Here is a 14,659-nt window from a genome sequence, read left to right on the forward strand (position 1 = left end):
TAAAAACTGCCTGGTCTCCTTTGTTCTTTGTGCTCTTGCAATCTTGATTGACTCAAGTGGCACCCTTCTGCAGAAGTAAATTGCCTTGCTGAGAAAACTTTTGCCTGGGTGCTGGTTTTACTTTGCGGCACTGAGCACTTATTCCTAGAGCATTTTTATATCCAACATAGAATATTTTATAAAACAAAAACAAAGACTCAATTTGTAATATGAATCCTCTCCCTCCGGGCTGGAGGCTAGCCACCCCCTCCCAACTCATTCATTTGTTTAATATGTTTAGATTTTCTTAATCAGTGTTGTGATTATCTATTGCTAAGTGCATAAGTGTCACTTCATTTCATTAAGTTCCACTAACTTAAGTTTCACTAAGTTCCACTTAGTTTCTAAGTTTCAACTATGAAACGTAATGGCTTGAACAGCCATTTTATTTTGCTCATGAATTTGGGAAGGACTCAGTTATGCAGCCCACCTCTTTCTGGCCGGAGTGGTGGGGGATGGAGAACCCACTTCCAGGGTAGTTTCTCCACTCAGGTCCCTGGCACATTGACAGGGCAGCTGGAAGGCTCCTCTGGGCCTCTCCATGTGGTCTTTCAGCATGCTGGTCTGAGGATAGTCAGACTTCTAACAAGACATCTCAGGTTTCCCAGACAGGGTATTATAAGAGACAGGAAGAGGAAGCTGCCAATTTCTTAAAGCTGTGGCCAGAAACAGGCACAGTGGCACTTCTGCCATATTCTATCAGTAAAGTTGCTACAGCACCCTTCTAGATTCAAGGAGAGGAAATACAGAGCCCACTCATCAGTGGGAGGAGTGTAAAAGAATTTGTGGCTATTTAAAGTCTACCTCAAAGTAGGCTGCTGTACTGATGTCAGTTTTTATTTATTGAGTGCTTAGCAGGCATAGTAGCTCCTTGAATCTTTCCAATAACTCTGTAAGATAGATATCTTTATTAATCCCATTTTACAGATGAAGAAACTGAGACACAGAGAGGCTGAACAACTGGCTCAATGCCCCCCAGAGCTGTATGTGAGCTAGGTTTTGAACATAAGCAGTTTGTACATGGGAAATTAATGAGCTAATTAGGCTATTTATTATCATAACTTCATGTAATTATTACAGCAATGGTAAGGCACATTACAAGCACTATGCAAGTAAGTAGCCTTTCCATATTCCAGGTAAGCACCCTTCTTGGGTGGGGATGGTCCCAGCTGCTTTTTTGCTGTGGGCTCAGAAGATTGTGCCTATGGGTGAGTGATGGACTGTTCGAGGGCACCTTCCACAGGAATCTTTGTCAGTTTCTCTAGGCATGAATCTTGCAAACAATATAAAAGTCTTCAAGCAACACTGAAAAAAAAAAAAGAGTACCAGAAACCCAAGATATAACAGGTTGACAAAACAGTTGGAGGGGGCCGGGCGTGGTGGCTCACCCCTGTAATCCCAGCACTTTGGGAGGCCGAGGTGGGCGGATCACTTGAGGTCAGGAGTTGGAGACCAGCCTGGCCAACGTGGTGAAAACCCATCTCTACTAAAAATACGAAAGTTAGCTGGGCATGGTGGTGCACACCTATAATCCCAGCTCCTCGGGAGGCTGATGCAGGAGAATCGCTTGAACCGGGGAGGTGGAGGTTGCATTGAGCCAAGATTGCGCCACTGCACTCCAGCCTGAGGTGACAGAGTGAGACTCCATCTAAAAAAAAAAAAAAAGAAAGAAAGAAAAAGGAAATGGAGGGAATTTCAGAGTTCAGAGAGAGAATACAAGTTACACTGGTGCTCCTGTCCACAGTGTCCTATGGACAAGTTACAGATGGCACAGCTAACAAAGCCCTGTTCTGCGTGGAACATGTGTTTCAGCCCCCTGATGGCTATTACCTGGTTAGTGAGAGAATATCTCTTTCCAGCACCTGTTAATTGAGTGACGCCATGCTGCCCCACAGGGACAATGGAACGTTTGGGTGCCATGGAAATTAGTACCAAGGCAATCTTGCCAGGCACTCGGGTATAGCCTTTGTACATGTAGCCCACTTTTATCTTGCCCAAACTTCAGACCGATTTTTTTTTTTAAACCGGATATTCAGAGTGAGTCAAACCCCTTTAATCCAAGATCCCCTAACAACACAGAGTGGAAGCTACCCTGCCCAATAGCAAGGCTGCTTGACACTTTGAGGAACTGAGCTCAGTCCTCCCAGGCAAGGCACACCTTCAATGCTACCTTATCCCTTTAGTTTTCCCTGACTCTTCTGGGAAAACGAACTGCTCTCCAATCTGTATTCAATGCATTCCTCTAGAATAGCTTATTGAGTACTTACTATGTCACTCTCTTTCTGCAGAATACTTTTGGGAATCAACTCATCTCATTTATACCAGAACCCTGGAGTCTTCCCATTCACATTTGACAGAGTCGATGAAAACTCAGGAAGGTTATGTAACTTGCCAAAAATCATACAGGTTGTCCTGTCTGCCTCAAAAGTCCACAAATTTGACCACACAGCCCTGCTGCCTCCCACTGATCACAGGGGGCTGTATGTATCTGTCCCCATGTCCAGTTCCCCATCAGGTTGTAAACTCCATTAGGCCTGGGGCTGGTGCTGAGCAAGGCTCCCAGGACCTAGTACATTCTCAGTAAATGCTTGAATCAAGTTTATAAAGGTTGAGGGCATCTCCAGGGCTCTATGGGCCCAAGAATCCTAACTCAAAATTAGTATATCTCACACACCTACTCTAGGAAGCATAATGACCTAGGGTTCCTGGTGCAGTTTGAAATCCATTGCTGTGCTTATAATGAAGGTCGTGCTTCCACACATGGCTTCTCATCCATGACTGAGTGTGGGGGGGATAATAAGGCAGATCCATGCCTGGGAAGGGGGGCACTCTAGGTCAGTGGCTCACTTCAGTTCAAAGACTCCCAAGTGCTTTGCCAAATGTTCATTAGACACACATGGCAGGTAGGATGTTCCCACTCAACCTTTGATCTTAATCTCCTTCACTGGGGTTAGACTTGCATTGTGGTTTGACAGCTTTCCAGCCACCCCTGGCTCCATCATCTCTATTTCCTTTCACATAGGCGCTTTCTCTAGTAAAATTCTTGCATGTTTAAAACTGTCTTGACATCTGCTTTTTGGAGGACCCAGACTAACAGAGTTAATATTTCAATTTTTTATTCGTTTCCTTATCATTAACGACTTCTATTCACTCTAAGATGACCATGTAGATTAGGGAACTGAATGTCAGAGCAGCAAATCCCTCTTTTCTAAGATGCCTTTCAGGAGTGTGTCCCACATACTAGGCAGTGTGCCAAGTCCTTTATATGCAGTCTTCCCTTCAATCTCCAACAGTGCTGTGAGATCAGTAGGATGACTTTCCTTTTATCCTATGATAGGTCATCCTACTAATGACTGTCCTATCATTTCATAGATAGGACATCTGAGGTTCAGGGAGGTTTAATTATTTGCCCAAAGGTCACACAGCCAAAAAGTGACAGCGTTCAGATTCTAGACTGTTTATTATTTCATTTAATTCTTCTCATAAACCCAATGGAAAATATAAGCAAGAATAAGAAAAGCTAACACTCACTGGACGCTTAGGTGTCAGGCACTTCCCATGTATTTTTTCATTTAATTCCTACCACAACCCCATGAGGGAGGTACTATGGTCCTCATTTCACAGACAAGAAAACTGTGGTGGGGAGAAGTTAGGAGATTTGCCCAGGGTCACCCAGCTAGGAAGTGGCAGAGCCAGAATTCCTGCTGGGACCAACTGGCTCCAAGAGCCCATGTGCTCCCTCCTTCTTGCCTCCCACTCGTGGCAATACTGTCCCAGCCATACGGAAAGGTGCTTTACCTTAGCTGCTATTCATGTGGTTTTCTCTGCATCCGTTGCTACCCATGAAGGGAATTACAACTCAGGAAAACTGACCTTTTCCACTTCTGATTCGACTCCAGACACAGGTCTAGTCTTGTTTCAGAACCCTCTGCTTTTCATTTCATTTGAATCCATGTTAAAACACAATAGCCTACATATCCAATGTCTTACAATTGAACACTAAGAAGCCACCAAGGATCACATTTATTGTGTTTATATACAATGTGTTGACACAGAAATTTACAGCAAATAAAAAATTTACAAACCGGACATATGACTCCATTTAAAAATGACTCATATTCATAGTTATAGATTTGGAAAATATAAAACCAATTTATGTGTTTATGATCTCTTAGTGGCAAGTTTACAGGTGGTTTTGTTTAAAGTATCATACAGAGTAACTTTGCTCTTCTAAAAATCCTCTGTTCTCTGCCTATTCCTTTCCTCCCTCATATCCCCTGGCAACCGCTGATCTTTTTACTGCCCCCATAGTTTTGCCTTTTCCAGCATGCCATATTAAATTCCCAGGAGTAGGATTGCTGGATCATATGGTTTAAGTATGTTTAGTTTTGTAAGAAACTACCAAAATGTCTTCCGAAGTGGCTGAGCCATTTTGCGTTCCCACCAGTAATGAATGAGTTCCTCCAAGCTGGGCATGGTGGGTCATGCCTGTAATCCCAGCACTTTGGGAGGCCAAGGAGGATAGATCACTTGAGGTCAGGAGTTCAAGACAAGCCTGGCCAACATGGTGAAACCCCGTCTCTACTAAAAATACAAAAATTAGCCGGGCGTGGTGGTGCATGCCTGTAATCCCAGCTACTCGGGAGGCTGAGGCAGGAGAATCACTTGAACCCGGGAGGTGGAGACTGCAGTGGGTTGAGATCATGCCACTGCACTCCAGGCTGGGCAACAGAGCTAGACTCTGTCTCAAAAAAAAAAAAAAAAAAAAAAAAAAAAGAAAAAGAAAAAGAGCTCCTCCACATCCACACTAGCATTTGGTGTTGTCAGTGTTCTGAATTTCCACCATTCTAATTGGTGTGTTGTGGCATCTCATTTTGTTTCCCTGATGAGATGTGTGGAACATTTTTTCATATGCTTATTTGCCACCTGTATCTTCTTTGGTGAGATGCCTGTTAAGGTTTTTGGTCCAATTTTAAAAGTTGCTTGTGTTCTTATTTGTGAGTTTTAAGGGTTCTTTGTATATTTTGGATAATAGTTCTTTATCCGTCTTTTGCAATTTTTTTCCTCCCAGTCTATGGCTTGCCTTTTCATTCTGTGACAGTGTCTCACAGAGCAGAAATTTAAAAATTGTAATGAAGTCTAGCTTATCATTTTTCATGGGTGGTGCCTTTGGTGTTATATCTAAAAAGTCATTGTGAAACCCAAGGTCAGGTAGATTTTCTCCTAAGAGTTTTATAGTTTTGCATTTTACATTTAGTTCTGTGATCCATTTTGTTAATTATTGGGAAGGATGTAAGATCTGTGTCTAGATTCACTTTTTGCATGTAGTTGTCTTAATTATTCCAGCACCATTTGTTGAAAATACTGTCTTCACTCTGTCACATTGCCTTTGCTCCTTTGTCAAAGATCAGTTAACTATATTTATGTGGGTCTATTTCTGGGTTCTCTATCTGTTCCACTGATCTGTCCATTCTTTGACCAATACCACACTGTCTTGATTACTGTAGTTTTATAGTATGGGTAGTGTAAGTTGGGTAGTGTAAGTCCTCTCATTTTATTCGTCTCCTTCAATATTGTGTTGGCTATTCTTGGCTTTTGCCTCTCCATATAAACTTTAAAATCAGTTTGTTGATACCCACAGAATAACTTGCTGGGATTTTAATTGAGATTGCACTGAATCTATAAAGTTGGCAAGAACTGACATCTTAAAAATAGTCTTTTTATTCATGAACGGACTATCTCTGCATTTATTTTTTCTTTGATTTCTACCAATAGAGTTTTGGAGTTTTCTTCATATAGATCTTATACATTTTTACAAGTTTTATACCTAAGTACTTTGTATGTTGGGTACAAATGTAAATAGTATTGTGTTTTAAATGTCAAATTCACTGTTCACTGCTGGCATATGAGAAAGTAATTGATTTTTGTATATGAACCTTGTATCTTGCAATACTGGTATAATTACTTATTAGTTCCAACTTTTAAAATTCATTCTGATTTTCTACATAAATGATCATGTCATTTGTGAAAATGTTTTACTTCTTCCTTTCTAACCTGCATACTTTTTATTTCCTTTTCTTGTCTTATATTGCATTAGCTAAAACTTTCAGTATGATGTTGAAAAGCAGTGGTGAAGGGGGCCATCCATGTCTTGTTCCTGATCTTAGAGTGCAGTGGCATGATCATGGCTCACTGCAGCCATGACCACCTGTGCTCAAGCAATCCTCCCACCTCACCCGCCTGAGCAGCTGGAACTATAGGTGTGTGCCACCATGCCTGGCTAATTTTTGTATTTTTTGTAGATACAGGGTTTCATCATCTTGCCCAGGCTGGAGGTTTTTTTTTTTTTTTTTTAATAGATGTTCTTTATCTAGTTGAGGAAGTTCCCATTTTCCTAGTTTACTGAGAATTTTTATCATGATTGTGTTGTATCTAGCTAGTATCTTGATTTGCTGAGAATTACTGCATCTATGTTCATGAGAAATATTTTTTTTTTTGAGACGGAGTTTCGCTCTTGTCATCCAGGCTGGAGTGCAATGGCGTGATCTTGGCTTACTGAAACCTCCACCTCCCGGTTTCAAGTGATTCTCATGCCTCAGCCTCCCAAGTAGCTGGGATTATAGGCATGCGCCGCCATGCCCGGCTAATTTTTATTATTATTAGAAACGGTTTCTCCATGTTGGTCAGGCTGGTCTCGAACTCCTCACCTCAGGTGATCCGCCCGCCTCGGCTTCCCAAAGTGCTGGGATTACAGGCGTGAGCCGCCGCGCCTGGCCTACAGTCTTCTTATAATCTTTGGTTTTGAAATTGAGGTAATGCTGGCCTCCTTGACCAAGTTAGGATATATTTTTTCTGCTTCTATCTCTGGAAAACACTGTATAGAATTGGTATAATTTCACCCTGCGTGTTCAGTAGAATTCAGCAGTGAATCCATCTGGGTCTGGTGCTTTCTGTTTTGGAAGGTTATTATTGATTCCATTTCTCTAATAGATATAGGTCCATTCAGATATAGGCCTATTTCTTCTTGTGTACATTTTGGCAAATTGTCTTTTAAGATCCATCCAGGTTATCAAATTTGTTGGCATGAAGTTGTTCATGATATTCCTTTATTATCCTTTAAACATCTATGGGCTCTGCTCTGTATTGAAGTCTCTTCTCATTTCTGATATTAGTTGTGTCCTTTTTTTTCCCCCTTTAGCTTGGCTAGAGTTTTACTGATGTTATTAATCTTTAAAAAAACCCAAGTCTTGATTTTGTTGTTTCTCTACTGAAATATTTTTTCAATTTCATTGATTTCTACTCTTAATTCTTGTCTTCTGCTTACTTTGGATTTATTTTGCTTTTCTTTCTCTAGTTTCCTAAGGTGAACACATACATGACTGATTTTAGAACATTTCTTTTGAGACAGAGTTTCACTCTTGTTGCCCAGGCTGGAGTGCAATGGCGCGATCTCAGCTCACGGCAACCTCCACCTCCCAGGTTCAAGCAATTCTCCTGCTTCAGCCTCCCAAGTAGCTGGAATTACAGGTGCCTGCCACCATGCCTGGCTAATTTTTGTATTTTTAGTAGAAACGGGGTTTTGCCATGTTGGCCAGGCTGGTCTCGATGTTCACTAGATCCAGCTGGTTGATGGTGTTAAGCACAACTATGTCCTTACTGATTTTCTGCCTGCTGGTTCTGTCCATTAGTGATAGAGGGGTGTTGAAGTCTCCAACTATGATAGTGGATTCATCTATTTCTCATTGCAGTTCTACCGGTTTTTGCCTCACATACTTTGATACTCTGTTGTTAAGTGCATTGGTCAAATAATGGAGAATGAGGTTTTGAAAGAGCTCTAGCTTTGTTTTGTTCCTTCTGGTGGCTGCTAGGCTGCAACAGGAATGTGGGCTGTTAGTTTTCAGGGCTTCTACAGCTGAACAGTGAAAAAGGCAACTAATCCAAGTTAAAACATGACCAAGGCTGTTGGTCTTAGGTAGATTCAGTAGTTTTTCTTGAACTAAATGCTCCTGAGATTGCTGACAGCCTTTAATTTTCAGACTTCTAAACAGTCGATTCTGAGAAATTTTGCCAGTTTTATCACGGCTCTTATGAAGCAGCTAGTTTTCGGAGGTCATTCCTCTTGCCATTTTCACTGACATCATTTAGCAAAAGCTTTTTGACCATTTGGGCTTTAAAGATGAAAATTTATGTTGGCTTCCATGAAGGGATTTAAAAAAAAGATGAAAATTTAATTTTTCTTAAAGAAGGGTAAAGAGAAAGAAATATAAGATTAAATTACTATTTTTTTCAATGAAAACACATGGACACAAAGAGGGGAACAGACACTAGGGCCCACTTGAGGGTGAAAGGTGGCAAGAGGAAGACTGTTCAAAAAACTACCTATTAAGTACGACGCCTATTACCTGGGTGATGAAATAATCTGTACACTAACCCCCCACGGCATGCAGTTTACCTATATAACAAACCTGCACATGTTCCCTTGATCATAAAATGTTTTAAAAAATTAGTTTCAAATTAAGGAAATATTTCTTTTCTAATTAAGCTAGTAGACAGGTATTTCAATTCTAATTAAGATAGTAGACAAGTAAGAGTCATAGGGGAAAGGGGAATGAGACAACCACAAGGAAATGAGAAGTAACACAAAAAGAGGAATGAAGCAGAGAAATGGAGACATTTTTTAAGTGCTGGAGAGGGAGAGATGGAGAACTGATCTAGAAGGGAGAGCACTAGATATCAGCATTTTTTGTCTTAAAAGTAGTCACTAGCCAAGCTTTCCTATCTTCTTTCAGATTAGGTTGTGCTTTGAAAGGGATGAACACAGTTAACACACCAGAGAGGGGACTGGTGCTACATTCTTCTGGAGACTGAAGTAGGGAAGAGGTTGGTTTTCTACCTTTGAAAAAGGGCAGATCCACCAACCAACCAATCAGTAGCACTGCCAAGCAAGAACTTTCCAACTCAAAATACATGTTTGTTGCCCAGTTTTATATCTGGACTACCCACACTGTAAGGGTACCACAAAAAGAGAAGGAACAGGAACAAAGGAAAGGCTACCAAGCATTCCCATGGAAAAGTTGAAACAGCAACAAATCGGTTGGCATCACTTTGGCCTAACTGTGGAAATGGAACCCAAACTATACTCCCCAAAATGGCAGAGAATACTGCCCCATCCCACGGAGGTAGGGCGTGGCCACGATTTGTTATGGCCAGTGGAGTGTTGGCAGATGTGATGCACGCAGAAGGCACAAACCATACTTGTGTGGTTGGGCTTGCCTTCTTGTGCTTCTACCATCAGTGTGGAAACTTCTGTATAACTTTTCTATTTTAGCCCAGGCCCAAGAATGAACATAGATGGGAGCAACTGGAAGCACAACTCACAGCAGGTAGTAAAGCCCAGCCAGAGACCCAGCTTGAAGCAGTTACCCACACAAGCTGATGTCAGCCAATCTGCAGAGGCATGAGTAAGAGTGATTAAACAACTTAGATTTGGGGTGGTTAGGTGGCAACAGCAACTGAAATGTAAGAAGACATCATTCTTTTAGGATCCACTCCTGAGGGCAAACTATGTTACCTCCCCCTTTACTGCTGTATGCCAAGAGCCTAGCACAGTTCCTGGCACATAGCAGGTGTTCAATAAACACCTGTTGCAGTCAGATTTACATGTTTCTCCTAAAAATAATCTAGGAGAATAAAATGAGGGGAACTTACATAATTTAGTATTCAGTGTGTGTCTCAACTTCAAAATCAACAATTTCAACAAAGACCAGATTGCACGTCAGCAGTCATTAGGGGGTTAAGAGCACCGACAATGGACATGACTGCCTGGATTTGAATCTAGGCTTCACAAATTACCAGCCAGGTGACCTTGGGCAAACACTACTTCATCTCCCCCTTTCCTCATCTGTTAAATGGTGCTATAAATAGTACCTACCACGTAGAACAGTTGTGTGGGTTAAGAGATAATTTATTTCAAGTACTTACAACCTTGCCTGGTACATGATAAATGCTGCATAGGCATTTTCTATTATTATTACCTGCATAAAGACCACTTTGAGAAAGGTTATTAAAGCCCTCTTCACCTGTTCCTCCCATCGCCTATTTATATCTACTTGTTCTCACTTCTATTATCTAATCTTGTACGTGTTTCCAATTAGCTCTCTTGTATATTTTCATCATCTTTCCATGCTCAGGATTGCTAAGTGCCAATATATCTACTCTATCCCAGAGCGCCCCTCCACCAACTCCACCAACCATTTAAAGAGCTGCTGATTTTGTTCTTTTCACATAGGGTTTGCACCCTTCTCCATCTGTTCAAATCTGATTCTCAATGTCCGCACCTAGTCTTCCATGACGCCTGTTCTGATCTTCCCTCCCAATGTGATCTTATTCTGTACCTTTTATCAATTAATCTCTACCTCAATTACACTTTTATTACTTTCTACTTATACCTTTCCACAATGAAATTAATTGTAAGCTCCTAAAGGACAAGATCACAATTTCTTGGTTTTCTGCCCATTCCCACTCCCAAGTATACAGCAGGCAAGCAGTATTTGTTGAATAAATATATTTGAAAATCCCATATAGATAGGTTCATTTAAGTCTAAAACAACTTTGCTAAAAAGTCATTTTTTTATTAGAAAAGGAAAAAAAACTTGTCAATTCAATGCTAGACAGTTTAAGGGAAAAGAAGTTTGCATGTAAAAGAGACAGACACTTGATTTATTGCATTAAAAAACTTTATTTCTTTTAAAAGGTCCAATATAAGCCAAATTAACCCCAAAATTTACAGCTACACTTAGAGATCTCCTGAACTAAATGGCATTGTTTGAGATGAGTGTCTTGTTAAAGGAGGTCATTTGCTATTACCACCATTTCACCCAAAGTAGTTCTAGAGCAGAAGCTGGTATTATAATACACATCAGATATTTCAGATGTCATCTTTTATGTATAAGTTAAATAAAGCAAACAGGCTTTTCTACTCTGTGTGAGGATAAGAAACACTACAGAACAGGGCCTGAATGCTTTAGACATACAAGGTGTAACCATAAAGGAAATTTCTACGGTGCTGTGTTCATTCATTCAAGTAATTAATGTACTTATTCCAACAATACTGGCGTAGTTCAAATACCATTTGAGACAGTACTTTGGGGTTTCCCTTCATTGGGTGCAGACCAAAGGAAGTGGTTAAGCTGGGGGGCAGACTCTCACAGATGGATTACAAAAGTAATGAAATAGTTTTCTTAGTGGGGTGGCATTCGCAAGAACTACCTTAATGTTTTTGGTAACAGCATCATTTACATATAAGTGATGCAGGATAGAAGTTCTGGTGTATGTGATAAATTAAAAACAGCTTGTCACTTTATAGCTACACCTTGGATTTCATTAGATGTGGTAAATCTAATAGTGTGTCAAATGAGTCCTTCTGGAAATCACTTCAGCAGAGAAGTCAAACAGCCTGTAAAAGAGAAGACATGGCAGAATGTGCGAGATTCATCCTTCCAACATTCTCAGGGTTCTCTTGGAGGACAGACCCAGGCCCAAAGACAGAAGTTACCGGGAGGGAGGCTTCAACTCCATCTAAGGAAGACCTTTCTAACAGTTAGAGCTGCTCAACAACTGAATGGACTGCTTGGTGAGGTAGAGTCACTTGGAAGTGTTCAAGGTGGAAAGATCACCCTTGTAGAAGGGACTCCTGCATTTGTTAAGAGGTTAGAGACTGGATGAACCTCAGGTCTCTTTCAATTCTGAGATTCTAGAAAATTCCCTCAGGGAATTCAGAAGAGAATTCCTAAAAGGAAAGAGAAAGCACACATATGTATACTTTTAGAATCTGCTTGATTTTTTTTTTTTTCAAAAGGTACAATAGAAAATGTAGTCCACTGTCATTAAAATGCATATTCACCTTCCTACTACTAATAATTAGGAAGGGTTCATTATGACTTCTTTATATTATAAAGAAAAGATGGGGGATTAGATTTATAATTTCTGTAAATATTTTAGAAAAAATGCTTAAAATCTAGTAGTCAATGCCCTAGAAACTTTATAGATTTGTAGATAATATGCACAGATACAAATACATTATTCATTAAATACAACTCACATCTGTGTTTTATTATACTCTAAAATATACAGGAATCTTGATGTACTGAAAGAGTGCAAGTAAATACAGTATTCAAGCAGTCACTATTTCTATGTACATGCTCATTAATTCTTCAAAAAACCCACAAAATTATCAAATAGATCAAAATACTGTTCTGTGTTTTCACACTTTATATTCAGAAAAACCAGCTGATAATTTACAATGTCATAAAGTTTCCAGTTTCACAATACAAAAAGGATAAAATGAAATTGGGTATCATTTTGTTGCAATTTATAGAACTTTACCCATACCTGTAAGACCCTCAATGTATATGAAATCATTTTCACTGGGAAAGTGACAGTTACAGTAAAAGCAGAACCACACAAATCTTTATTTAAAAGCCGAAATATCAGCCTTCTCTCTCTCTTTTGCTATTTGAAAGGTAGTCTTCAATTTGGCAGGCAACTGCTTCTCTCTCCAAATAGTAACAGGTTACAAACATGCTACTTTAAATATGAATAGGACCTAAGGCTTTAGTATTTTAAATCTTGCCCAATACAGAAATGCCTTTCAAGAGACTTTAGTGATGCTTAATTTATGAACAACAAGGAATTATTTTCCTTTTGATTATTCACTTTTTCAAAACTCATAGATCAGAATAAACAAAAAATCCCCCAACCCATGGTGGGGACACAAAAGTAACATAAGTGACTAAGGTGTGCCATTCATAGAGAGGTTGAAGACTCCATGCCCCAGGACCACTTAGCTGCAATAGGGTGAAATAGTCTACTTTTTGATTTCATGAATTTTTTTCTAGGAAATTCTTTACATTTTCAAACAAAAATAGTACTATTTTAAACCCAAACCATTCAAAACAGGGCAACAGCCTGACCCCAATCCATCTCAATGTCTATGTCACAAGTATTTTCACCCGTATTGCACCCAGTCAGCTGGTTTTTAATTCTAATAGTATAAAAATTGGAAATTTGAAATAGTTCTGTAAAAGAAAAAAATGTAAAAATACATCTGCTTTCTCTCATGGTTTAATACAGCATTGGAAGGCTTTCAGATGTTTTCTTAAAAAAAAAACAAAACCCAAAAAAACTCAACATTTAAAACCAAATCTCAGCTTCATTTCCAGAAATATTGCAGTTTGGTTTAGGTAATGTTTCATTTAATCTACTCCAGTTTCCACAAAATGGCATTTTATTAAAAAAACCTTTCAGTTATTTGGTCCTTTTGCAATTTGCTGTGCACATAATGCCTACTGTACCAAACTTTTATTGCCTTTAAATTTAGTTGTAATTTTATTGATAAAATTTAAATCTAGTGTCTTTATTTCTTCTGTTACAATAGTGTTGCTTGTGTAAGCAGGTTAGAGTGCACAGTGTCCCCAATTGTTCCTGGCACTGCAAAACCAAATTAAACAATTCCACAAAGAATTCTGACATCAATGTGTTTTCCTCAGTCAGGTCTATTTCAAGATTCTAGAAGTTCCTTTTGTAAAACTTGCCTTTAAAACTCTTCCTCCTAATGCCATCAGATCTCTTAACATTGGCTCACTGTGGGATCTTTCCTCTTAGGTTGAATTTCTACGTGAATATCAAAGTGCCTTTTTCCTGAAAAAGCACAGTTTGAAGCTTTACTGTGAGAACTCCCTCCTCCTCAGCCTCTCAGTAGGTCTCAGAATCGGAGTCGTTGAGCTCATCCACGTCAGTGTATAAGTACTCCTGTTCCCCTCCAATGTTATTGAAACTGCAATAGGAGCTAGGTTCATTCCTCATGATGGGCAAAGCTTCAAAGCTGACTGTTTTTGAGGTGTTGGTATAACGGTTAATGGCATTGAATGTTAAGGATGATAAAGGACTACTTGATGAGACAGGCATCATGGTGGCCAAAATGAGAGCCAGGCAATCAGCCACATCCTTATTGGGAGCACAGGCCAAAGCTGGGGTATAGCCTAGAATTAAAGATAAAATTTAAAAATTAAGCATCCTGAGATGTATTTCACCAAAGACAAGGAAATAAGCCTAAAGTACTTCAACTTTAGACATATTTTACATTACTTAGCTTATAATAAATTGCTGTAACCAGCATGATTCGCAAGTTTCTAATAAGTAGAAAAAGAATAGCCATAGAAACCTAGGGTGGAAGGGGATGTTAGACTAGACAACAGAAGAGGAAGCAGGCCCAGAGAAGAATGATTCCCCAAGGTCTCACAACTTATCCGTATCCATCTGAATTCACAGAAAAAACTGGGCTAGAATAAGAAAAACACCACATATCGTGAATATTCTTTCAGGATGGTAGGCAGAGATTTACTGTTAATTTGCAGTTATATCAGTGTCAAGGTAAGAAAAAATAAAAAAATTTAATTTGTAGTTATGTAAGGAAACTTTTTGATGCTAAGAAATCTTAAATGTGTACAGCTTCATGAATCAGCCACAGGGCAGGTGCTCAAAAGATATGTGTTGAATGAATGACACTTAGTTGTCAATTTAACTTTTCTCTTGGGGTCACAGTCTCTTGAAGAAAAACAGT

General features: G+C 39.5%; 2 protein-coding genes across 34 annotated transcripts in view, besides 1 other annotated feature; one reads left to right on the forward strand and one right to left on the reverse strand.

Moving 5' to 3' along the window:
• BTD (biotinidase) overlaps positions 1-14,659 on the forward strand; it is a 121,156-nt gene that overhangs the window by 55,118 nt on the left and 51,379 nt on the right. Inside the window, exon 4 of one of the 6 annotated variants that reach the window (NM_001407380.1) lies at positions 11,551-12,149. The exons of the other annotated variants lie outside the window; for them this stretch is intronic. Coding sequence (NP_001394309.1) covers positions 11,551-11,763 — 213 coding nt within the window. The 3' untranslated portion in view covers positions 11,764-12,149. Of the gene's footprint in view, positions 1-11,550; positions 12,150-14,659 lie in introns of those variants that run through there. 6 annotated transcript variants of the gene reach the window in all.
• Positions 2,215-2,384: an enhancer, noted in NCBI's record as "experimental_65637 CRE fragment used in MPRA reporter constructs". NCBI's record gives its function as "activates a minimal promoter by MPRAs in K562 erythroleukemia cells, with activity observed for the non-introgressed 3:15700285 variant allele {active_cell/tissue: K562}" and the evidence as "EXISTENCE:reporter gene assay evidence [ECO:0000049][PMID:34662402]".
• The window catches only part of ANKRD28 (ankyrin repeat domain 28), a 192,579-nt gene continuing 188,677 nt past the window's right edge, over positions 10,758-14,659 (reverse strand). For 24 of the 28 annotated variants that reach the window (XM_047447807.1, XM_011533542.4, XM_024453422.2 and 21 more), the window contains one exon: positions 10,758-14,078. In XM_047447807.1, the coding sequence (XP_047303763.1) occupies positions 13,792-14,078 (287 nt within the window). In that variant the 3' untranslated portion in view covers positions 10,758-13,791. The remainder of the gene's footprint in view (positions 14,079-14,659) is intronic. The other 4 variants (XR_007095653.1, NR_146111.1, NR_146112.2 and 1 more) reach the window with 1 other exon arrangement.

The sequence above is a fragment of the Homo sapiens genome, chromosome 3 (genome assembly GCF_000001405.40).
Source record: "Homo sapiens chromosome 3, GRCh38.p14 Primary Assembly".
Lineage (NCBI taxonomy): Eukaryota > Metazoa > Chordata > Mammalia > Primates > Hominidae > Homo > Homo sapiens.